Below are 24,023 nucleotides of genomic sequence, written 5' to 3' on the forward strand. Positions count from 1 at the left end.
ATATACTACAGTTAGCCAACCCCCCAACCAATCTTTTAACATTGGAGAGTTAAGTTGTTTCCAATTAAAAAAAATTATTATAACAACACAAAGATAATTAAATATATATTTAAGCCCATACGCTGTTTTTTGAAACGTTTTTGAGGTATAATTTATGGTCATTCTCATTTTGAGATTACCGTGCAATCAGTTTTGACCATTGCCCTCGCCCGTACCCCTCATCCTAAGCAAGAGCTGGAACATTCTTTTTTTTTCTTTTTTTTAAATCAGCTTTCCATTTATTAAGTTTAGAGAGGAACAATTCTAAGTAAAGCTTTAAAAAATCTTCAACACAGATATTTTTTATAGGCAATACAGAAGGACAGGATGACCAATAAGGGTGCTCAGAGTAAAACTCCTAAAGTTGCACAAGTTGTAGAAGAAAATTTCTTATAATGAAAGGACATGAGTATCTAGATTGAACAGAACTACCAGAAACCTGGCAAAGTAAACGAAAAAAAGTTTCATACCAAGACAACTGACTTTGAAATTTCAGAACACAAAGATAAAAACAAAATCCAAAATTTTCCAGACACTAAATATCACATACAAAGAATTAGGAATCCGAATAACATCAGTCTTCCCAATATTAGCAGTTGAAGAAAGAACAGTACCTTTAAAATCCTGAGGGAAACTTATTTCCATTCAAGAATTCTACACCCAGCTAAACTATCCATCAAGGCTGAGAGCAGAATAAAATATTTTCATGTATTTCAGTTCACAACAATGTACCTCATATGCACCCTTTCTCAGGAATCCACTGAGAAATATTTTCTTTCTTTTTTTTTTAAAGGGATTTTATTTATTTATTTATTTATTTTTAGTATTTATTGATCACTCTTGGGTATTTCTCGCAGAGGGGGATTTGGCAGGGTCATAGGACAACAGTGGAGGGAAGGTCAGCAGACAAACAAGTGAACAAGGGTCTCTGGTTTTCCTAGGCAGAGGACCCTGCGGCCATCCGCAGTGTTTGTGTCCCTGGGTACTTGAGATTAGGGAGTGGTGATGACTCTTAACGAGCATGCTGCCTTCAAGCATCTGTTTAACAAAGCACATCTTGCACCGCCCTTAATCCATTTAACCCTGAGTGGACACAGCACATGTTTCAGAGAGCAGGGGGTTGGGGGTAAGGTCAAAGATTAACAGCATCCCAAGGCAGAAGAATTTTTCTTAGTACAGAACAAAATGGAGTCTCCCATGTCTACTTCTTTCTACACAGACACAGCAAGAATCTGATTTCTCTATCCTTTCCCCACATTTCCCCCTTTTCTATTTGACAAAACCGCCATCGTCATCATGGCCCATTCTCAATGAGCTGTGGGGTACACCTCCCAGACGGGGTGGCGGCCGGGCAGAGGGGCTCCTCACTTCCCAGAAGGGGGCGGCTGGGCAGAGGCGCCCCCCACCTCGCGGACAGGGCGGTGGCCGGGCAGAGGCTCCCCCCACCTCCCAGATGGGGCGGCTGGCCAGGCAGGGGCTGCCCCCCACCTCCCTCCCGGACGCGGCGGCTGGCCGGGCAGGGGCTGCCCCCCACCTCCCTCCCGGACGCGGCGGCTGGCCGGGCGGGGGCTGCCCCCCACCTCCCTCCCGGACGGGGGGGCTGCCGGGTGGAGATGCTCCTCACTTCCCAGACGGGGCGGCTGCTGGGTGGAGGGGCTCCTCACTTCTCAGACGGGGCGGCTGCCCGGCGGAGGGGCTCCTCACCTCTGAGGCGGGGCGGCCGGGCAGAGACGCTCCTCACCTCCCAGACGGGGTGGCGGTCGGGCAGAGACACTCCTCAGATACCACACGGGGTCGTGGCTGGGCAGAGGCGCTCCTCACATCCCAGACAGGGCGGCGGGGCAGAGGCGCTCCCCACATCTCAGACGATGGGCGGCCGGGCAGAGACGCTCCTCACTTCCCAGACAGGATGGCGGCCGGGAAGAGGCGCTCCTCACTTCCCAGACTGGGCAGCCGGGCAGAGGGGCTCCTCACATCCGAGACTATGGGCGGCCAGGCAGAGACACTCCTCACTTCCCAGACGGGGTGGCGGCCGGGCAGAGGCTGCAATCTCGGCACTTTGGGAGGCCAAGGCAGGCGGCTGGGAGGTGGAGGTTGTAGCAAGCCGAGATCACGCCACTGCACTCCAGCCTGGGCAACATTGAGCACTGAGTGAACGAGACTCCGTCTGCAATCCGGGCACCTCGGGAGGCCGAGGCTGGCAGATCACTCCCGGTTAGGAGCTGGAGACCAGCCCGGCCAACACAGCGAAACCCCGTCTCCACCAAAAAAATACGAAAACCAGTCAGGCATGGCGGCGCACGCCTGCAATCCCAGGCACTCTGCAGGCTGAGGCAGGAGAACCAGGCAGGGAGGTTGCAGTGAGCCGAGATGGCAGCAGTACAGTCCAGCTTCGGCTCAGCATCAAGAGGGAGATCGTGGAAAGAGAGGGAGAGGGAGACCGTGGGGAGAGGGAGAGGGAGACCGTGGGGAGAGGGAGAGGGAGACTGTGGGGAGAGGGAGAGGACTGGAACATTCTTATTTCACTTAGCGTAATGCCCTCCAGGTTCATCCAGGTCACAAATGCTGGGATTTTCTTATATTTCAAGACTGAATAATATTCCGTTATATATGTGCCATGTTTTCTTTATCCACTGATTGGTCAACAGACGCGTAGGTTGTTTTTATGTGATGGCTGTTGTGAATAATGCTGCAGTCAGCATGAAACTGTAGGGATCTCTTCAAGATCCGATTTCATTCCTTTGGCTATGGACCCAGTAGTGACATTGTTGGATCATGTGGTAGTTCTGCTTTTGATTTTTTCTTTTCTTTTTTTTTTTTAAGTTTTTAAACTTTTTATTTGCATATTTAAAAAATTGTGCATTCCAATAATTAAAATCATTTGACAAAAAGAAAAAAATGGCTCTCTGATTAAACTGCATTACAGCCTGCAGGACACCTTGGGCCAGCTTGGTTTTATTCTAGATTTCACTGTCATCCCACCCCACCTCTTCCTTCACCAACATGCAAGTTCTTTCCTTCCCTGCCAGCCAGCCAGACAGATGGGAGAGACAGGCGCGGCCTTCGTTGTCCGTAGTTCTTTGATGTGAAAGGGGCAGCACAGTCATTTAAACTTGATCCAATCTCTTTGCATCTTACAAAGCTAAACAGCTAAAAGAAGTAAAATAAGAAGGCAATGCTTGTGGAATATACAGTGCATATTGGCGGCGCACGCCTCACTACGATTTGCCTGCTTGCTTCTCCTGTTCAGTCGTTTCTTTGGAAGGCAGTGGATTTTTCTCTTGAGTCTCTGTCTTCTTCAGTTTCGACTTATCGAATTTCTCGATCTCAGCCATATCGGGTTTGTCAGACATGGTTGTGGAGGAAAAGCGGAGCGAGGCGTGCGAGAACGAGAGAAGTCTGGTCTGCGCAGTGGCCACCACTGAGTTGTCGCTTTTGATTTTTTCAAGGAGCCTCTGTACTGTTTTCCATTCCCACCAGCAATGTCTAAGGGCTCGCCTTTCTCCACATCTTCTCCAATGCTTAATCTCTTTTGACTTTTTGATACCAGCCATCCTAACAGGTGTGAGGTAATGTCTCATTGTGGCTTTAGTTTCTATTTTCTTGATAATTGATGATGTTGACCACCTTTCCATAAACCTGTTGGACATTTGTATGTCTTCTTAGAAAAATATCTATTCAGATTCTTTGCCCATTTTTAAATTGGGTTATTTGTTTTTCGGCTATTGAGTTGTATGAATTCCTTACATATTTTGGATATTAACCTCTTATCAGATATATGGTTTGCAAATACTGTCTTCCATTCCATAGGTACCTTTCTGTTTTGTTGATTGCTTTCTTTGCTATGCAGAAACTTGTTAGTTGGATAGGTTAGTACCACTTATTTATTTTTGCTTTTGTTGCATGTGCTTTTGGGGTCATATCCCAAAAAATCATTGCCAAGACCAATGTCAAGGAACTTTTCCCTTACATTTTCTTTTAGGAGTTCTGTGATTTCAGGTATTACATTTAAGTCTTCTATTTTGAGCTGATTTTTATGTATGGTATAAGACAAGGATTCAGTTTTGTTTTTTTGCATGTGAATATTCAGTTTTCCCAATAGCATTGTGAATTCTTTGTGCCTTTGTTGAAGGTTAGTTGACTGTATATGCACTCATGGGCTTATTTCTGTGCTTTCTTCTCTGCTCTATTGTCTATGTGTCTGTTTTTATGCCAGTGCTTGTTTGAGCAAGTATACTGGTTTGATTACCATCTATCTGTAATATAATTTGAAATCAGGAAGTGTGATGCCTTCAGCTTTGTTTTTCTTGCTTAAGGCTGCTTTGGCTATACATGACCTTTTATGGTTTTACATGAATTTTAGGATTTTTTTTTCCATTTCTCTGAAAAGTGCCTTTGGAATTTTGATAGAGATTGCACTGAATCTGTAGATTGCATTGGGTAGTATGGACATTTTGAAATATTAATTCTTTTGATCCACGAACAGATATTTTTTCCATTTATTTGTGTCTTCAATGTTTCATAGTTCTCAGTGTACAGGTACACAACACTTCCTTGGTTAAATTTATTCCTAAATATGTCATTCTGTTTGGTGCTACAGTCAAGGAGATTGTTTCCTTAATTTTTTTCAGGTGGCTCATTGTTAGTGTATAGAAATGCTGCTGATTTTCGTGTGTTGATTTTGTATCCTGCAACTTTACTGAATTTGTTTATTAGTGCTAACCAGTTTTTAGTGGAGTCTTTAGGGTTTTATTTATATAAGATTATGCCATCTGCAAACAGAGCCAGCTTTACCTCTCCCTTTCCAATTTGGATGGATCCCTCCCTCCTTCTTTCCCGCCTCCCTCCCTCCCTCTCCCTTTCTCTTCCTTTCTTTCTCTCTTTCCTTTTCTTTCCTTTCCCCTTTCCTTTTCTCTCCTTTCCACTTTCCTTTTTTCTTTCTTGCCTAATTGTTCTGGCTAGGACTTCCAGCACTATATTGAATACAAGAGGCGAGAATGGGCATCCTTGCCTTGTTTCTGATTTTAGAGTAAAGCTTTCAGCTTTTCACCAGTGAGTATGATGTTAGCTGTGGACTTCTCATACATGGCCTTTATTGTGTTGAGGTGCATTCTTTGTATATGTGCTTTCTTGAGAGCTTTTATCATGAAACAACACTGAGTTTTGTCAAACGTTCTTTCAGCATCTACTGATGATAATATGATGTTTATTCTTCATTCTGTTAATGTGGCATATCACATTTATTGATTTCTGTATGTTGAACCATCCCAGGCATAAATTTTGCTTGATCATGGTGTATAATACTTTTGTTTTTGAGACGGAGTCTTGCTCTGTTGCCCAGGCTGGAGTGCAATGGCATGATCTCGGCTCACTGCAACCTCCGCCTCCTGAGTTCAACCGATTCTCCTGCCTCAGCCGCCCAAGTAGCTGGGATTACAGGCACGCACCACCACGCTCAGCAAATTTTTGTATTTTTAGTAGAGATGAGGTTTCACCATGTTGGCCAGGCTGGTCTTGAAATCCTGACCTCAGGTGATCCACCTGCCTTGGCCTCCCAAAGTGCTGGGATTACAAGCATGAGCCACCGCTCCCGGCCGTGTATAATCTTTTTAATGTGCTGTTAAATTTGGTTTGCTAGCATTGTGTTGAAGATTTTTGCATCTGTGTTCATCAGGGATATTGGCCTGTAATCTTTTTTTCTTGTATTGTTCTTGTCTGGCTTTGGTATCAGGGTAATGCTGGCTTTTAAAAATTAGTTCAGAAGTATTCTCTCCTCTTCAATTTTTTGTAAGATTTTAGAAGGATTGGTATTAATTCCTATTTAAATTTTTGGTAAAGTTTGGCATGAGGCTACCAGGTCCTGGGCCTTTCTTCGATTGGAGATTTTTGACTACAGAATCAGTCTCATTACAGATCTGTTCAAATTTAGTATTTTTTCATTATTCAGTCTTTGTGGGTTGTATGTTTCTAGGAATTTATCCATTTCTTCTAGGTTATTCAAATTTTTGATGTATAATTATTCGTATTACTCTCTTATGACCCTTCATATTTCTGTGGTATCAGTTGTAATTTCTCCATTGCATTTCTGATTTTATTTGAGTTACCTCTTTTTTCTTCGTCTAGCTAAAGGTTCGTCAATTTTTTTTTTTGCCTTTTCAAAAAGCAACTCTTAGTTTTGTCGCTTTGCTACAGCTTTTCTAGTCTCTCTTTGATTATTTCTGCTCTGATCTTCGTTATTTCCTTACTTCTGCTAACTTTGGGCTTCATTTGCTTGTTTTTTTCTAGTCCCTTATGGTGTAAAGTTAGATTGTTTATTTGTAATCTTTATTTTCCCTCCATGTAGGTATTTATTGTTATAAAATTTCCTCTTAGAATATCTTTTTGCTGTAGCCCATAAGTTTTTGTATGTTGTGTTTTCATTTTCATTTGTTTCAAGATATTTTTTGATTTCTTTTTTGACTCATGGATTGTTCAGGAATGTGTTGTTTAATTTTCTCGTATTTGTGAATTTTCGTTTTCCTCCTCTTGCTGATTCCTAGTTTTATCCTGTTGTGGTTAGAAGAGACGCTTGATATGATTTCAGTCTCCTTGAATTTGTTAAGACTTGTTTTGTGGCCTAACGTATGAGCTATCTCAAAGAATGTTCCGTGTGCACTGGAGAGGAATGTGTTTTCTGCTGCTGTTGGATGGAATGTTCTCTGTTAGCTCCATTCGGTCTAAAGTGTAGTTTATGTACAATGTTTTCTTACTGATTTTCTGTCTGGGTGATCTTTCCATTGTTGAAAGTGAGGTATTGAAGTCCCCTACTATTAGTGTATTCTATCTGTTTGCCCTTCAGATCTGTTAATATTTGCTTTACATATTTAGGTGCTCCAATGTTGAATGTGTGTATATTTGTAATGATTATGTTTTCTTGATGAATTGACCTTTTATCATTATATAAAAACCCTTTTTTACTCTTGGCTACAGTTTTTGACATAGTCTATTTTGTCTGATATAAAATAAATATAGCTACGCCTATTCTGTTTTGGTTTCAATTTGTGTGGAATATCTTTTTCCATCCCTTCATTTTTAGTCTATGTGTGATCTTAAAGCTGAAGTGTGTCTTTTGTAGGCAGTGTATATAGTTGGGTCTTCTTTTTATTTATTTATTTTTATTAAGCTACTCCGTGTCTTTTGATTGGATAATTTAATCTATTTACATTTAAAGTAATTATTGATAGTTAAGGATTTGCCATTGCCATTTTGTTAATTGTTTTCTGGTCACTTGGTAGATCCTTTGTTTCCTTCTTCCTCTCTTGCTGTTTTCCTTTGTGGTTTGATAATTTTCTGTAGTAGTATGCATTGATTCCTTTTTCTTTCTTTTGTGTATGTACTAGGTTTTTTATTTGTGGTTACCACAAGGCTTATATAAAACATTTTATAGTTATAACAGTCTATGCTAAACTAATAACAACTTAACTTTGATCACACACAAAATTCTACACTTTTACACCCACCCCCCATTTTATGTTTTTGATATCACAATTTACATCTTTTTTATTGTACATCTATTAACAAATCATTGGGCCAGGTGCAGTGGCTCACACCTGTAATCCTGGCACTTTGGGAGGCTGAGGCGGGTGGATCACGAGGTCAGGAGTTCAAGACCAGCCTGGCCAGCATGGTGAAACCTCGTCTCTACTAAAAATACAAAAATTAGCCGGGTGCTCGCCTGTAGTCCTAGCTACTCAGGAGGCTGAGGCAGGAGAATCGCTTGAACCCGGGAGGTGGAGCTTGCAGTGAGCTGAGATTGTGCCACCGCGCTCCAGCCTGGGCGACAGAATGAGACTCCATCTCAAAAAAAAAAAAAAAAAGTAAAATATATTAGCTGGGTGGTATGTGCCTGTAGTCTCGGCTGAGGCAGGAGGATTGTTTGAGCCCAGGATCTGGAGGCTGCAGTGAGCTATGATGATGTCACTGCACTCCAGCCTGGGTGAGAGAGTGAAACCCTGTCTCTAAAAACAAACAAACAACAACAACAAATTATTGTGGCTATAGTTATTTTAATATCTTTGTCTTTTAACCTTTATACTAGAGTTATATATGATTTACACATAACCATTACACCATCAGAGTATTCTGAATTTGACTATTGCTATCATTTGAATGTTTGCCCCCTCCAAAACTCACGTTGAAACTTGATCTTTAATGTAATAGTATTGAGAGAGTGGGCCTTTAGGAGGTGACTGGATCATGAGTTCTCTGACATTATGAATGGATTGATCCATTTATGAGTTAATAGATTAATGGGTTATTACAGGAGTGGGTTAGTTATCATGAGAGTGGGACTATTATAAAAGCCAGGTGGCCTCTCTCGTGGGCCTCCTTACTGTGTGATGCCCTGTGCTACCTCAAGACTCTGTGGAGAGTTCTCATCAGATGTGGCCTCTTGACCTTGGATTTCCCAGCCTCTAGAACTGTAAAAAAGAATTTCTTTTCTTTATAAATTACCCAGTCACAGATATTCAGTAATGGCAACAGAAAACAGACTAAGGCAAGTATATAGTTTTATCAGTTATCTCTACACTTTTAAATGTTTTCATGTTACTAATTAGCATCCTTTTGTTTCAGCTTGAAGAACTTTCCTTTACATTTCTTGTAAGGGAAGTCTAGTGGGAACTTCTTTAGCTTTTGTGTATCTGGGAGACTCTTAATGTTTCCTTTATTTTTGAAGGATGGCTTTGTGAGTACATAATCTTATTGCCAGTTTTTTTCTTTCAGTACTTTGAATATATGATCCCACTTTCTCCTGGCCTGCAAGTTTTCTGCTGAGAAGTCTGCTGATAGCCTTATGAGGGTTCTCTTGGATGTGATGAGTTTCTTTTCTCTTTCTGCTTTCAAAATTCTCTTCTCGTCTTTGATTTATGGTAGTTTGATTATAATGTATCTTGGTGAAGTTTTCTGTGGGTTGAACCTATTTGGAGACTTTAAGCTTCATGTACCTTGATGTCCACATCACTCCCAAGTTTGGAAAGTTTTTTAGGCATTAATTCTTTAAATAAGCTTTCTATTAGCTTCTCTCTATATTCTCCTAATACAACTTCCATAATGTGAATGTTAGCTTTCTTGATGGTGTCCTTTAGATCTCACAGGCTTTCTTAATTTCTTTTAATGCCTTTTTTCTTTTCTCTTCTCTGATTGAATATTTTTAAATGACCTGTCATCAAGCTCACATATTCTTTCTTTTCTTTTGTTTGATCAATTCTGCTCTTGATGCTGTCTGCTGTATTTTAAATTTTATTCATTCTGTTCTTCAGCTTTAGAGTTTCTGTTTGGTTCTTTTTTTAAAAAAAAATCTCTATCTCTTCATTGAATTCCTCATTTTTAATGTATTGTTTTTCTGATTTTGTTGAGTTGTGTGTCTATGTTCTCTTGTATCTCATTGAGCTTCCTTAAAATGATTATTTTGAGTTCTTTGTTAGGCAATTTGTAGATCTCCATTTCTTTGGGATTGGTTTACTAGAGTATTATTGTGTTCCTTTGGTAATGTCATGTTTCCTTGATACTTTATATTCCTTGAAGTCTTGCATTGCTGTTTTCTCATTTGCAAAAGCAGTCACCTCCTCTAGTCTTTATGGACTTTTTTTGGGAGAGAGATTTCTTTACAAAACAGCCTGGCTAGGGATTCTGAGGCTCTCTCAGACCATTTCTGTGGATGCACCTGCTCCACACCTTTTGCTTCTCTTGGAGAGGGGTGAATTTTTAAAGAGTATATGCCTTTTCTTGATCCCACAAAGGCAGTCTAGGTGCTACTAGCCTCTCATTAGTTTCCCCTAGGGCAGTGCTCTGAAATGCTCAAGTTCTTGTGCCTTCTCCCTCCCCATCCCACACAGTCAAGCTATCTGTCTGTGTGAGATGCTGGCACTTGCCATCTGTGGGGGTGCCTTTGGGGAGCTGGCAGAGTGTTGGGTGAAGCATGTGAGCATTTGGGTGCCCGTGGTCCAGTTGGGATGGTTCACAGGAAAGGCGTCTCCATCAGCTTGTTGGGGGGCTTCCTAATAAAATCTGCAGAGCAATTATTAGGGTCCATAGCCTTTCTTCCTAGCTCCCAGTCTCTCCCAACTTCTCCTCCATGTCAGTCACCTCAGTATTGGAGGTGAGACAAGAAAGAAGCAGACTTTTTTTGGGCAGCATCCTGCATGGCTGGGGGAGCTGGAAGCTCACTTACTACACTTTCACTTACTCCAGTGGGAAAAAACATGGGCCAAGGGGGTTTCCCTGGGCACTGAGCTGTGTTGCTCAGCTCACAGTTGCTCAGCTTACAGTTGTGGGAAACGGTCACACGGGTAAAGTGAAACTGTTCTTACCCTCATCAGTGCATCTATTCTTGGATTTTTTTCTCTAACAGTGTGCTGGAACTTCTCCACTGGACTTCCAGACTCCTACAAAGACACTTTTGTTCATGGGGAGTTGTCAACATGGAAGCTTCTTTGGGGGGACTATGGTAGAAAGCTCCTCTTCTGCCATCCTCCTAACATCACCCATGTGTGCATGTCTTGTCTTCCTAATTAGATTATACATTCCTCAAGGGTAGGGATTTGTGGATCACACTCTGCCATCCTGCGAGTAAGTGGTTCCAAGTCCCTGATATAGTAGTTATTCCTAAGTATTAGATTGATAGATTTACAGAGGGTCATTAAACATACATTGACTACCCCAGAGATATGGGGTTAAAGTCTGATAGACTCTTTTCATTTCTACCTCTTAAAGAATCTTAATCAAAGGATCCACAAACACAATGGTTTGCTGATCCAAGGCGGCAAGGATTCTCTATTAAAACCTCTGAGGAATTCCCTTCTCCCTCCCTCCTTTCTTCCTTCCTTCTCCCACTTAGAAGTGGCAGCAGGCTTTTTCAGGCTCCGAGGCCTGTCCCCACTGATGTTCAGGTGTAGGTCAGGCTTCCATGCTCAAGCAGGCCTCAGGTCCCTGCTGAGGGGTGGGCACGGATGGAGGGTGAGCCTGAGGCAGGATGTGCAGGACAGCGACTGCTGAGACAGCGTTCTTGGCTGCCTTGTGGTGGGTGGGGGGCCATGGACCCAGCCCAGGGCGGGGGTTAGGGAAGGCACTCGGGAGGCTACTCGTAATTCAGGGTTTCTGAAATCTGGAGACAGGGAGGGCTAGGAGTCCATAAAGGGATGTGGCATTTGGCATCCCAGGGAGTCAGCTTAGGGGAGGGGCGTTTAGCACTCAGGGGTCTACTCTGTGCCTCAGCTTGGACCCATGAGTTTGGAAAGTTTCTTTTCTTCTTTTTTACTTTTTTTTTTTTTTTTTTTGAGACAGAGTCTCACTCTCGCTCTGTTGTCAAGGCTGGAGTACAGTGGCATAATCTTGGCTCACTACAACCTCTGCCTCCCGGGTTCAAGTGATTCTCCTGCCTCAGCCTCCTGAGTATCTGGGATTACAGGCGCCCACCACCACGCCCGGCTAATTTTTGTATTTTTAGTGGAGACGGGGTTTCACCACATTGGCCACACTGGTCTTGAACTCCTGACCTCAAGAGATCCGCCTACCTTGGCCTCCCAAAGTGCCGGGATTATAGGCATGAGCCGCCATACCTGGCAGACTTTGCAAAGTTATTTAACATCTCTATTATCTGAGTTGTCAGGCAGGGATAGTCATAACATTGTATTTACTTTTTCCAGCAGTCACAGCCAGTCGTGACAGCTTCTGACATCTCCAAAAGGAAGTGCACCTCGTCCTTTGTAGAAATGGGATCACAGGGTAATGGATCTGGAAATCCCACCTTCACACTTAAGTTGGACCCTGAGATGCAGAGAATAGGCAACCACTCTTCCCATGGCCACATGGCTTGGACAGAACTGGAGCAGAAGCCCCATTTCTAGATGGACGTGGTTTGCTGGGAGGGAGGAATATTGTTAGGCACAATGCGGTCCCAGCCTCAGCTGAGCAGTGCAGAGACCACAGACGTGGAACCAGACAGTCCTGGGCTCGCTGGGCCTGTCTGTATCGTGGCTCCACCACCTGTCAGTTATGTCAGCTTCTGGAATCAGCTTCGTCTTCCCAAGCCCCCTTTTTCTGTACCTGTAAAATGGGGGGTGGGGGGTGGGGATCTACCTCCCATGACTCCCAGAAGGGTTAAATGGAAGGATAGACGCACAATGTCTTGGATGCGGCAGTTGCCTGGTGCCTGGTGGCCTGGTGGTTGCTGTTATTATTCTCCGTTTGCACAGAAGAAAGTCTGAGCCCTGGTGCTTTTGTTCATGGGAACTCACTAGGGAATGAGCATGACTTCCGGCCTCTGCAATAACCAACTGACATTCTTTCTGATAATCGTGGCTGTTTCCGTCAGCTGTAAGTGCTCTGTTCTGGATAATGTTTATTCTCAAGGACATTAGGTCAAAGAGAGAATGGAATATGTTTACAAGGACATTAGGTCAAAGAGAGAATGGAATAAACTTAGGACTTTTTATACACAACCTGGGATGAATCTCCTCCCTGAGACCTAGGACACCCTGGGCGCTCTGCCTGTGTGGTAGGCGGTGCCCGGGCCCCAGGGGGCGCAGATGGGCTGGGAACCAGGACCTCAGCCGCCACCACCCTCCACACCCTCCCTGGAGTCTCACTTTCCAGTGGGACACAGCCCTGCCAACTCCCCTGGCCCACTGGCTCTTCTGCCCGTGGGCTTGCTAGCTGGGTGCTAGTGGATAGCTTTCTAGCTCGTTGCAGCGGGGGCACAGTGGCAGTTCCCTGATGACCGGTCACGAACATCTGTGGCTTCCATGGCATTATGCTGTGGAGACTCACCTGGAGAAAAACAGTGACCTCTGCGGGAACTTGGGGGCCAAGACTTCCTGGTTTCTAGGGTCCTGGGAACCACTGCAGTCCTGGGCAAACTGGGGGCTGCAACTCAACTTCGCCTGGGCATGATGACGCTGGTCACGATGCTGTGCATGACGACACTGGGCACGATGATGGGGGGCATGATGACGGGGGGCATGACGATGGGGTGGATCTGGGCATGATGATGCTGGGCAAGATGATGGCATGGTGATGCTGGGCACAACGCTGGGCACGACGATGGGCACAACGATGAGCATGATGGGGTGGATCTGGGCACAATGACACTGGGCATGATGATGGAGGGCACGATGAGCACGACGATGGGGTGGATCTGGGCATAATAACGGTAGATCGGGGCATGATGATGCTGGGCATGACACTGGGCATGATGACGGTCTGCATCTGGGCATGATGGCTCTGGGCACAACGATGCTGGGCATGAAGATGGGACACGATGATGGGGTGGATCTGGGCATAATGACTCTGGGCACGATGACGCTGAGCACAGTGACGCTGGGCACGATGACGGTGGATCTAGGTATGACGATGCTGGGCATGATGATGGTAGATCTAGGTATGACGATGCTGGGCATGACAACAGCGTGAATCTGGGCACGACGATGCTGGGCACAATGCTGCACACGATGATGCTGGGCATAACACTGGGCGTGATGACAAAGTGGGTCTCAGCACCTGTCCCAGTGCTTCTTGAAGGGGCTCCTGAAGGGGAGGAGCATCCCTGGGAAGAGCGGGACCTGGGTGTGACAGCCCTGCTCCCATGCCAGCCCTGCTGTTGCCCAGCCTGTGGCCACTCCAAACCATTGTTTTCAACTTCTGACATCAAAATCACAGCCTTCACAGGGCGTTGCTGCCATGAGTGGGCCTGGGGTCTGCAGATCCGCTCTCATCCTTGCGTCTTCAGGTCCTAGCATGAGACCTGACGTTTGGAAGGCCCTCCATCCACTGTTGGAAAAATATCCTGAGGTTTCATATCTTCAAATACCTCTGCAATCTGTGGGTGATCCCAGTCTATGGCCAAGGGCCCCCCATCTGTGTCATCCTCCCTTCCCCAGGTGAAGCGGCTGCCCCGCAGGGTTCTAGAGAGCTGGTCTGTGGGACGAGGCTTCCGGCCATGCTGGGCGGGGGCTGTGTTCTCTGCCTATCTATGGAGGTGGGGCTCTGCTTCAGGTTTCTCCAGGGGCTCTCATTTAAATGCAGCTGCTGGCCCAGGAGGGCGGCCTGAGACCCTGCACTGGTCTTAACAGCACCCAGGTGCTGCTGCTGCCAGCCTGGGCTGTCCCCATTGGTGGGGGTCCAGATGCCTCTGCTTCCGCAAAGTGCATGCTCTGCACATGGGGACCTGGCTGCAGTGGGGGCTGCCCTGAACAGGCTGGCTGGGTGTGCGCTGGGGCTTTGAGGGAGTGTCCTGTTGGGAAAGTGAGACCCCCCACCCCCCATTCGAGGAGGTGGTGCGGTTGGATGGCCTATTCTGAGATAAAAAGCCAGGCCATGGCCCAGAGAAAGCCCAGCTGTTAAAAATCACCGAGGAAGCTGAATTTCAAATGCTCTTTTTGCCTCTTCTCCACTTCAGAGGACTGTGTGAAGTGTTCATTAAAATTAATAAGAACTCCACACCTGCTTTGAGCTGCCCTCAATCCTCATGCGTGTCCAGAGGACAGATGGGAGGCGCAGCACTGCTCACAATGGTGATGAGATGTGGGATGGGCTGTGGCGTTCGTGCCCAGTGTGCCGGGTGCCACAGCCAGAAGCTCCTATGGCAGAGAGGGAAGGGATCCAGGGGCATCAGGTGCTGCATTCCTGTTGTCGCACGCAGCCAGCGGGAGGGGGCGTTGCTTGCCTCTTGCAAAAAGCTTTCTGTCACTTGGAGGTGCACGAGGCCTTGGGAGAGGGAAAAAGGCGTTAGGGCTCTTGTTCTCATCTGCTGTCCTTAGAGAACCTCTGGATCTGTAACCACACTACTGTCCGGCCAAGGGTTAGTTTCCAAGAGAAGTCTTCAAGTTGAAATAAGTCAGCTACAGAAAAGGTTGTGGTATGAAGTAGAGAATGTGTTGACAATCTCAGTGGATTTCAACGGTTCTCACCTTTTCTTCTTCCTCCAAACACCCCAAAATAGAATATTTCTGTCAGAAACAACAGCTCACACCAATAGGTCCCAGTGTGTGTGGCTGGTATGTGGAGGTTGGGGTGTAGTGAGGGTCTCCTGGGTGCTTCTGGGGTTCTCAGTTTAAGCCTAGGTGCTGACCAACTGTACAAGCTTGAGCTGTGTGAGGATAAAAGTAGGCTTATGTACATGCACTCATGCACACACGTGCACATAGATGTATGTGCATGTATAGTTGTATGTATGGATACATACCTATATGTATATATGTGCATGCATGTGTGCATATGTATATGTACCTGTGTGTATGTGCATATGAGCATTTGTGTGTATGTGCATATAGCGTGTGTGTGAATAGTATGTATGTGTATGTGTGCTCCTGTAGTATGCATGGGTATGTCATGTGAGTATGCCTTTGTCTATGTATGTGCTGCTGGATGCCCTGTTTTGAGATAACAAAGCCAGGCCACGGGTCCAGAGAAAGCCCAGCTGTTAAAAATCACTGAGGAAACTGAATTCCAAGTGCTCTTACATATGTATGTATATGTTTGTATTCATGTATGTATGTTTGTGTACACATGTATCCACGTATGTAGGTTTGTAAGTTTTATGTATGTGTATATGGGCATGTTTATATGTACATATATACGATGTGCAGTTACATGCTATGTGTGGTTGTATTTATACATAAATGCATGAATGTGTGCATGCATCATGCATATGTGTATGTATGTGTGTTTTTATGTGTGCATATGTTACGTGTTTGCATATTGCATATCTGTTAATATGTGTATGTTTGCATGCACATGTATGTATGTGGAGGTGAATGCACATCTCTATGTGTATATGCATGTGCATGTGTGTATGTATGCATATAGATGTCTGTGCATGCATATGTGTATAGTATGTATGTGTGCATATGTATGTGTATGCATATCAGGGTAGTACGTATGTGTATGTGTACATGCATGTATGTGTGTATAGTATATGTGCATATGTCTGTATATAATGTGTGAGGGGACTTCAAAAAGTTTGTGGAAAAGTGGAATTAAAAAATAAAAATACAAATATAAACTTTATTTCTCAATATAAGCACCATGAAGTTCAAGACACTTTTGTAAGTAATTACACCAGCCATTTAGTCCATCCCTAAAGAACTGAGGGTTCCTCATGGTGAAATTCCCAGGAATTCCCATGTGGTCTTTTTTACATTGTTTACTGAAGAAAAATGAGTGCCCTTTACAGATTTTTTAAGATGAGGAAACAAGAAGTCAGAAAGAGCCAAACTGGGAAAGTTGGATGCTTAATGATTTCCAATAGAAACTCTTGCAAAATTGTCCTTGTTTTATAAGGAGAATGAGCAGGAGCATTGTTGGGGTGAGAAGGGCTCTGGTGAAGCTTCCTGGGCATTTTTCTGCTAAGGCTTTGGCCAACTTTCTCAAAACCCTCTGATAGTAGGTACATGTTATTCTTCTTTGGTCCTCCACAAAGAGAACAAGCAAAATGCCTTGAGCATCCGAAAAGCCTGTTGCCGTGACCTTCACTCTCGGCCAGTCTGCTTTGCTTTCCTGGACCACTTCCAACTCTTGGTAGCCATTGCTTTGACTGTTTTGTCATTAAGATTGTACTGGTAAAGCCACGTTTCGTCTTCTGTTACAATTTTGAAGAAATGCAATACAATACAGGCCCATAATCTCAGCACTTTGGGAGGCCGAGGTGGGTGGTCAGGAGTTCGAGACCAGCCTGGCTAACATGGTGAAACCCCATCTCTACTAAAAATACAAAAATTAGCCAGACATGGTGGTGCACGCCTGTAATCCCAACTACTCAGGAGACTGAGGCAGGAGAATCACTTGAACCTGGGAGGCAGAGGTTGCAGTGAGCCAAGATTGCACTACTGCACTCCAGCCTGCACGACAGAGCAAGACTCTGTATCAAAAAAAAAAGAAAAAATTAAAAAAAAAGATGCTTAGGCATTCTTCAAAGAATTTTAACAGTAAAGCAAAGCAGACTGGCCGAGAGCGAAGGTCATGGCAACAGGTTTTTTGGATGCTCAAGGCATTTTGCTTGTTCTCTTTGTGGAGGGCCAAAGAACAATAACATCTGCCTACTATCAGGGTGTTTAGACAAAGTTGGCACTGGCTCATCCGGTGGAGGGAGTGTTTCTCCACCCCCAGGCCCAGCTGTGCCCAGTGCTTGGCCCTTCCCCCAAAGGCCTCCCTGCAAGGCTGAGGGGACCGTGGAAAGGGGTCTGGTGGTCCAAGCTATGGGTTTAGGGCAGAAGGGAATAAGGAGGGACGGGAGGGTTTGGGCCACCTGTAGCCACCCTAACTCCCCACCAGCCGGGTATGCTTGGTCACGGCTGACACAGGCGAGAGGGCTCGGAGGGGCCCCTGCTCGGAGGGGGCTCTGCTCGGAGGGGGCCCCTACTCGGAGGGGACTCTGCTCGGAGGGGGCTCTGCTCGGAGGGCTCTGCCTGCTGCTTTGCACACTCTGGTCTCTTGGTCTCTGTCTCCTGCCTCCTGGGCTTGGGAGTAGGGCACTGCTTGTCCTCCCACAGGAACACAATCCTGCGCCATGTGTCCAGCCCCTGGCTCTTAGAAATGCAGGCTTCCCGCAGTTCCTGGCCCGTGGAGGGTGGCTTTGGCTGTACCCGGGGTGGAAGTCTCACAGGCTGGGGCCTACCCACAGTGGGGGTGCAGGGTTTGGAGCCCTGGACGTGGAGTCAGGAGGCCTTGGTCTGAGTGAAATCCACGCCATCAGTGTGCGCTCGCGCTCCTGCTCCTGATGCTCGCTGTGACCCGAGGCACGGAATGCCCTGAGGTGCCACTTGACAGACAGGGAAACTGAGGCTTACAGAGGGCTGTAACTTGTGCAGGGTTTCATGGGTGGAGCACTGAGATTTGGGGCCAGGCCTGTCTGATGGCAGAGGCTGTGCTCGGAATCACGGGGCACTGTGTTCTTTCCTGGCTCACTGTATGACCTGTGGTGGTCACCTGACTCTCTGAACTCCTCTTCTGGAGCAGAGGGCAGTGTCTCTGTCTCTCAATACCACACAGCGGGCAGCTTCCAGGACAGAGATGATTTCCTCCCGGCTGTGGAGGCTGGAAGTCAGGGATCCGGGTGCCGGCAGGGCTGCTGCTCCTGAGGCTGCTGTCCGGGGCTTACAGGCGGTGTCTTCCTGCTGCGTCTCACGCGGCCTTTCCTCCATGCATGCACAATCCCGGCCTCTCTTTCTCTTCGGTAAAGCCACAGTCCTGTTGGACCAGGGCCCACCTGTGTGACCTCTTTAAAGACCCTGCTTCTAGTAGGACTCACACTGGGGTTAGGGCTCCATCGTCAGAATTTTGGAGGATGTAATTCAGCCCTAACAGATGGTGCTGCTAGGGACGTTGTGAAGCTGAAATCAGCGTGTACGTGTGGATGTGGTTTCCTGGCACACAGTCTACCTGGGAGTATTCTAATTTATTTCTGAAAGATGGAAAAATGAGCAGAATCCCGGGACCCCCACTGAGTCCCCACTTGGAGAGGGGCAGCGTCAGAGCACGGGAAAGAAAACCAAAGTCCCAGCCCTAGGAACGTCACCTTCCCATGAAAAAGCACAAACACCACGGGCTGAGGAGCGACGTGTCAGAGGCGGATTGTGGCCCTTCACCTGAACAAAGAGCCAACTATTTGCTAAGAAGCTTCCACCTGGAAAAGATGGGGAGGGCGCGAGGGGCTTCCTCCCCACCTGGGAGCTGTTTCTCCCTGAGACCCCTGAGAGATGAGATGTGAAGCTGTTCAAGGACAGTGACAGGGAGAGAGAAGCGGCCCACAGGCCCCACTTTCCCGTCTTCCCACCCACACAGCTCCTCCCTGGAGGACGAGGCCAGGCCCCCAGGCTGACAAGTAGACCAGGACCGGGATGGTGAGGCCCAGGAGACAGTGGAGGAGAAGCCCCTGGGCACAGATGCACTTGGGGAGGCTCCTCCCATCTTCGGGAAAGACTTATTAGTGGTTCAGTCCATCAGTTGGAGGAGGCACGTGGCCTGCTGCTGTAGACAAGTTAAAACCTGAGAGTGAGTTGAGAGCATTTGGCCTTTAGCCATCTCTGAATCACACGGCCAGATGTTAAAGCAAATCCAAGGTCATCGCTCACACTTGGCACCTGTCTCCGGCGAGTAGAGCTCAGCTCCTGCCCTTGGAGAAGTGTGGGACCCAGTCCCTGCCATAGGGGGTTCTGAGAAACCCTTGCGCTGGCTGCTTGCTGATTGTGAGGGTGCTGTGAGCGCGTCCAGCCTGATCTGGCAGCCTGGACCTCCTCGCGAGGGGACAGAGCGGGGACCACAGCTGACCGACGGGGGAGCGGCGTGAAGACGTGGAGGGGGAAATAAGAAGCATAAACATTGAGGCTGTCCCAACCTTCCTCCTGATGGTCAGCACAGAACCTCTGGAATAGTGCGGTGGAGAGCTGGGCGAGTTTGTCTTTGGACAGAAGGCCCGAGGAAGATGCGTGTTCCCGACCTTCCTCCTCATGGTCAGCACAGAACCTCAGGACCGGTGCGGTGGAGAGCTGGGTACAGGAGGCCCGAGGAAGACACATGTTTCCTGCGCAGACAGGGCCTGGGACAACACGAAACAGCAGATGTGCATTTTCAGGGAATATCAGCTTTTCTGTAGGACCCTCTGCGGGAGGCCGAGCAGAAGCACGGGGCTCACCTTTCAGCTTCAGACCACGGTGAGGGACACCTGCCCTCACAAACTCATCTTGCCCTAACTCTCTCCCAAAGGAACTGTCTCCAAATACCAGCACCTTGGGGTCACGGCTTCAACAGAGGAATTTGGTGGGGGACACAGTTCCATCCACTGCAGGAGGTGACGGTGCTCAGGCCGTGACTGGGCACTCAGTGTGGGTGGCTGTGTCCATCCTTCCGAGGAACCAAGACACTCCAGGGTACGTCCTGGGGAAAGGCAGCCAGGATAGGGCAGGGACTGCAGGTTTCTAGCTGGGTGAAGGGAAGATTTCAGACAGATAATAGTTTTTAAATGTTTAGAGGACTCTTGGAGAAGGTGAATTCAGCTGGCTTTGCATTTCTATGGGCGCAAAACCAGGCTGGCTGGGCGGACCCAGCAGAGCAGCAACTTCCCAGCTCCTCCAGCCATGAGAACTGACTGTACCGTGCCTCCTCCTGCAGCAAAGCAGGGCCCCTCAGTTATATTCCAGGGAGAACTGCAAATTGCTTCCCTTGCAGCGAGTTTTGGGCATGTATAATGGGTTGGCTAGTTGATTGAAGCTGTTTGTTCCAGTTGCCCTTCTCTCTCCCTGCTGTGGCATTTTACTGTTACAGAAATCTTCAGGTTGAAATTGTCATGACTCAGAACAGCAGGAACGGGTACCTGGCATCTGCCATCGGGAAGAGCAGGCCAGTTGGCTCCAGCAGGCGCTGGACTCACAGGCTGCCGTGGAGAGGGATTCAGAGGAGGGCAGGGCTGGCCCCCTGACGATGAAGGCAACGCACTGAGCACTCTGGCAGGGCCCCCTCTGGTGTGGGGGCCCTGCCCCTCCCTCTGTGAGACCTCCTGGCTGTCCACCTGGTCCCGGCCCTGCCCATGTCTTGGACCCTGTCCTCACTGGGTGCCCCCAGCGATAGTGCCTCTCACCGCCTTGCTGTGCCCCTGCCTGCCCCGCTGCCCTTGGGTTCCTCCCCCAGCTCCTCTTCCTCACGTGGGCCCCTGCCTCCCACTGGACACTTCTCTCAGGTGCCCTCCTGGCCCTTGTCACCGTCCCATGATGATCCCTCTCCCCTGCCTGTCCCCCTCTCCCCTGCCTGTCCCCCATCCCCTGCCTGTCCCCCTCTCCCAACGTGCCCCGTGACATCCCCCTCTGTGCCTCTCCAGAGCTGTGTCTCCCTGCGCCTACCTTGGGGAGGCTTGGCACTCAGTGCCAGCTGTGCGTGCCTCATCCACACATCCCATCACGCACGAGGTTCTGCCAACACTGCCTCCTGGGTGTCTCCCCAATCTGGGCGTTTTTCTTATCCTCCCAGAACCCGCCTGCCATGACCCCCTTCACCCCCAGCCTGCTCTGCCCTTGGTCTCCTTTTGCGCCTTTCAGTCTTTCCAGCAAGTGTTGCCAGATGCTTCCTGAACACAAGTCTGATCTCGCCGCCCTCTTCGCCAACCCTCCACATCTCCTGCAGCACGGAGATGCACCACACCCTCTCCGATGCTTTCCTGGGCTCTGAGGACGGACGAGGAAGTGGTGTCCCCGTTGCCCCTTTTCTATTCCCTTCCCTCGCACGCACTGCAGTTGCTGGGCCGCTGTCCCGACTTACCGGCAAACCCTGAGCTCTGATCCCTGCAGCCAGCGCCCTGCACAGCTGGCAACACACAGCGCCTGGTGTGCGAAGCAGAGTCGCCTCCGTCCTGGCTGTCCAGCTCCAGCCTAGGTGCCATTAGGATCTCCCTCTGCCTCCCTCGTCCCTGCATCGTCCCCCAGGCTGGATGTGGCCCCCAGCTGCCAGCATCAGGAGAGCAGCCTGGGCCTCAGAGCAGCAGAGTGTGGCTGTTGTCCTGGCTCTGCCATGCCGGGCCATGTCATTTTCATAGCCAGATAAGAGAATGCATGTGAACGTGCTTTGTGAATCAAGGCTGCATTTTATTGCAATGTAAACCACTCTCTGCAGGGGCATGTGTGGTTTCATTTTAGCAAAGCTCACTGAAGTCTGTGTTCCATCCTCTGGTTTCTGTCTATTCTGAATTGGGGGAACGTTACATCTGCTTCGCAAAACAAGACTAGGAGTTCCTGGCAGGGAAGTCCTTGGTTCTAAGGAGGCAGGTGGCGTCACTGCAGGACAGAGTGTTATCTGCGTGCGATAGAAAGTCCTTCCCGCCACCACCGCCGGGCGCAGTGGCTCACGCCGTAATCCCAGCACTTTGGGAGGCCGAGGTGGATGGATCACGCAGTCAGGAGATCGAGACCATCCTGGCTAACATAGTGAAACCCCATCTCTGCTAAAAATACAAAAATTAGCCTGGCGTGGTGGCGGATGCCTGTAGTCCCAGCTACTCGGGAGGCTGAGGCAGAAGAATGGTGTGAACCCGGGAGGTGGAGCTTGCAGTGAGCTGAGATTGCGCCACTGCACTCCAGCCTGGGTGACAGAGTAAGACTCCATCTCAAAAAAGGAAAGTCCTTCCCACCACCCACTGTCTTGCAGGATTGCCCACATTGAATTTCCCGCATTGAATTTCATTTAGTTCCTGCAATGGTGGGTTATAACTGATCATGAAGTCCTAATAGTGTGTAAACATGTCCATGAAAAAGAATTGCTGAGTTAAATCAGGTTGCCTGTTTCTTTTCCCAGTTTTTCCCTATGTACTTGTTTGATGTCTGCTGGTTGGGTTGGTGGTCAGTGGTGATAACCAGCAGACAGGTAGGAGCAGTTGCTGAGGGCTTAACACTTTGCGGGAGGGAGTACTGAGAAACTCCACCCTCTGGCTTAGTTTGTTCTAGGGACTGGGTGACAGCGGCATTCTTCAGGCTTGGTCCAGTGATCAGAGAGACAATCCCGTGGGATCTTGGTGTCCCTCTTGCTATGAATGAGAGAAGGGTGGGGGACACACACCACCCCACACCACCACTGCATACACCTAAGCTGGGGACAGGGGCCAGCAGGTCACGGGGATCAGGCATTCTGCTGTAGAGCAGGTCAGGTCGGGAGGCATCTGATGAAGTGTCCTAGGACCCTCCTCCCTGGCTCAAGTTCACACACCCGAGAGGAGCCAGGGGCTTTTCCACCTGCCACCCACCCACCAGACCGTGTTCCTGACAGTGCCAGTTATGTCCATGCTTACAGAGTTGTGGGTGCGTGGTTTGGTGGGGTGCAGGAGTAGGAGCTGGGAGGCACTGCCTTGCTGGGATGGAGGAAAGACGAGCTCTCGTCTCACACAGGCACGGAGGGGATGGACCGTGGTTGAGTTTGGAACTTAGGGGTGCCCCGTTCAGCCCCTCCATTCTATAGTGTGTATGACTTCTGGGGGAAGTGCATCTTCCTTTGGAAGCTGTATCAACAGGCGACCTGCCTGTGACAGTCACATACGTGACCTTGAAGAGATGTAGAGCTGTCTTTCTTAGTCTCTTCTATGTGCCTGTGATGTAGGAAGGAGGGCGGTCGGGTTATCCGTGCACGTGTGTGATGGAGGAGGCCACGGTGTCACCTGTGCATCGACCAACTTTGCTCTTATTGTTTTCTACAGGAGACATGGGGGACAAAGGACAGAAAGGCAGTGTGGGTCGTCATGGAAAAATTGGTCCCATTGGCTCTAAAGGTATTTGCAATGCGATTCTTGCCTCATTTCCCCCCTGCCCCTAGGGTCAGCGTCTGGATACCCTGAGAATAATTGTAGCCTGAATTGTCTCGTCTGGTGCTCTTATTTATATTCGGTGCATGGTAGATAAGAAATCTACTGCAGTACTTCCATTTTTGGGGTGCTTGGAGCTAGTTGCTGGCTCTGTGCTTACAGGGTGCGGTGAAGCGCTCCCCATTCTGCAGGATTTTCACAGCGCCCCAGGATGGAGGGGCTGCAGCTAGTGTGCTTGGGCAAGACTCTGGCTGTGTAGCCACAATGTCCTTAACAAGTTTGGTAACAGACTTAGAGCCTCACGTAAGGAGCGGACGCACCCTGCTCTGGAGGCACGGCATCTGTTCCCCCAGCTCAGGTCTCAGGTATTTCGAGGTGATGGGATGGTTCTTGGTGAGAACAGGGTGTGGGATGGCAGCAGCGGGTGTGGGCAGCAACTATGGTGCCAGCACCTGGGCTCAGTCTGCACCTGCGGGTTCTAATTGCACCGTCTCCGCTGCTGCATTTGGCTGCACGGCCGTGGTAAGGCGGGCAGATCAGCTGCGCCTCCCGTGATGAGAGACTGAGGCCAGGACAGGCAAGGGGTTGCTCAGAAGGTGCTGCTCCTATGCGCCCCCGCCCCCCGCCATCTGGTCAGTGGACGTCTTTGGAGCGCCTGGCTTGTTCCAGGTCTATG

At 48.2% G+C, this 24,023-nt stretch overlaps 1 protein-coding gene and 1 pseudogene across 13 annotated transcripts in view, besides 5 other annotated features; one reads left to right on the forward strand and one right to left on the reverse strand.

Moving 5' to 3' along the window:
* COLEC11 (collectin subfamily member 11) overlaps positions 1-24,023 on the forward strand; it is a 49,533-nt gene that overhangs the window by 19,179 nt on the left and 6,331 nt on the right. For 7 of the 13 annotated variants that reach the window (NR_045659.2, NM_024027.5, NM_001255982.2 and 4 more), the window contains one exon: positions 23,243-23,314. The exons of 5 other annotated variants lie outside the window; for them this stretch is intronic. Coding sequence is in view for 7 of the 8 variants with exons in the window: in NM_024027.5 (NP_076932.1) it covers positions 23,243-23,314 (72 nt within the window). In the remaining variant the exon portion in view is untranslated. Of the gene's footprint in view, positions 1-11,723; positions 11,803-23,242; positions 23,315-24,023 lie in introns of all 13 variants that reach the window. One more of the 13 variants, NM_199235.3, reaches the window with a different exon arrangement.
* Positions 785-1,289: an enhancer, noted in NCBI's record as "NANOG hESC enhancer chr2:3662665-3663169 (GRCh37/hg19 assembly coordinates)". NCBI's record gives its function as "activates a minimal SCP1, AML or CMV promoter by ChIP-STARR-seq in primed H9 embryonic stem cells {active_cell/tissue: H9 hESC(primed)}" and the evidence as "EXISTENCE:reporter gene assay evidence [ECO:0000049][PMID:30033119]".
* TMSB4XP2 (TMSB4X pseudogene 2) lies at positions 2,863-3,467 on the reverse strand (annotated as a pseudogene).
* Positions 7,729-7,878: a silencer, noted in NCBI's record as "fragment chr2:3669609-3669758 (GRCh37/hg19 assembly coordinates)". NCBI's record gives its function as "represses an EF-1alpha promoter that drives an FKBP-Casp9 reporter gene in an ReSE screen in HepG2 liver carcinoma cells {active_cell/tissue: HepG2}" and the evidence as "EXISTENCE:reporter gene assay evidence [ECO:0000049][PMID:32094911]".
* Positions 10,114-10,333: an enhancer, noted in NCBI's record as "active region_15234". NCBI's record gives its function as "activates an Ori minimal core promoter by ATAC-STARR-seq in GM12878 lymphoblastoid cells {active_cell/tissue: GM12878}" and the evidence as "EXISTENCE:reporter gene assay evidence [ECO:0000049][PMID:35858748]".
* Positions 10,364-10,603: an enhancer, noted in NCBI's record as "active region_15235". NCBI's record gives its function as "activates an Ori minimal core promoter by ATAC-STARR-seq in GM12878 lymphoblastoid cells {active_cell/tissue: GM12878}" and the evidence as "EXISTENCE:reporter gene assay evidence [ECO:0000049][PMID:35858748]".
* Positions 13,237-13,948: an enhancer, noted in NCBI's record as "H3K4me1 hESC enhancer chr2:3675117-3675828 (GRCh37/hg19 assembly coordinates)". NCBI's record gives its function as "activates a minimal SCP1, AML or CMV promoter by ChIP-STARR-seq in naive H9 embryonic stem cells {active_cell/tissue: H9 hESC(naive)}" and the evidence as "EXISTENCE:reporter gene assay evidence [ECO:0000049][PMID:30033119]".

The sequence above is a fragment of the Homo sapiens genome, chromosome 2, assembly GCF_000001405.40.
Source record: "Homo sapiens chromosome 2, GRCh38.p14 Primary Assembly".
Taxonomy (NCBI): domain Eukaryota; kingdom Metazoa; phylum Chordata; class Mammalia; order Primates; family Hominidae; genus Homo; species Homo sapiens.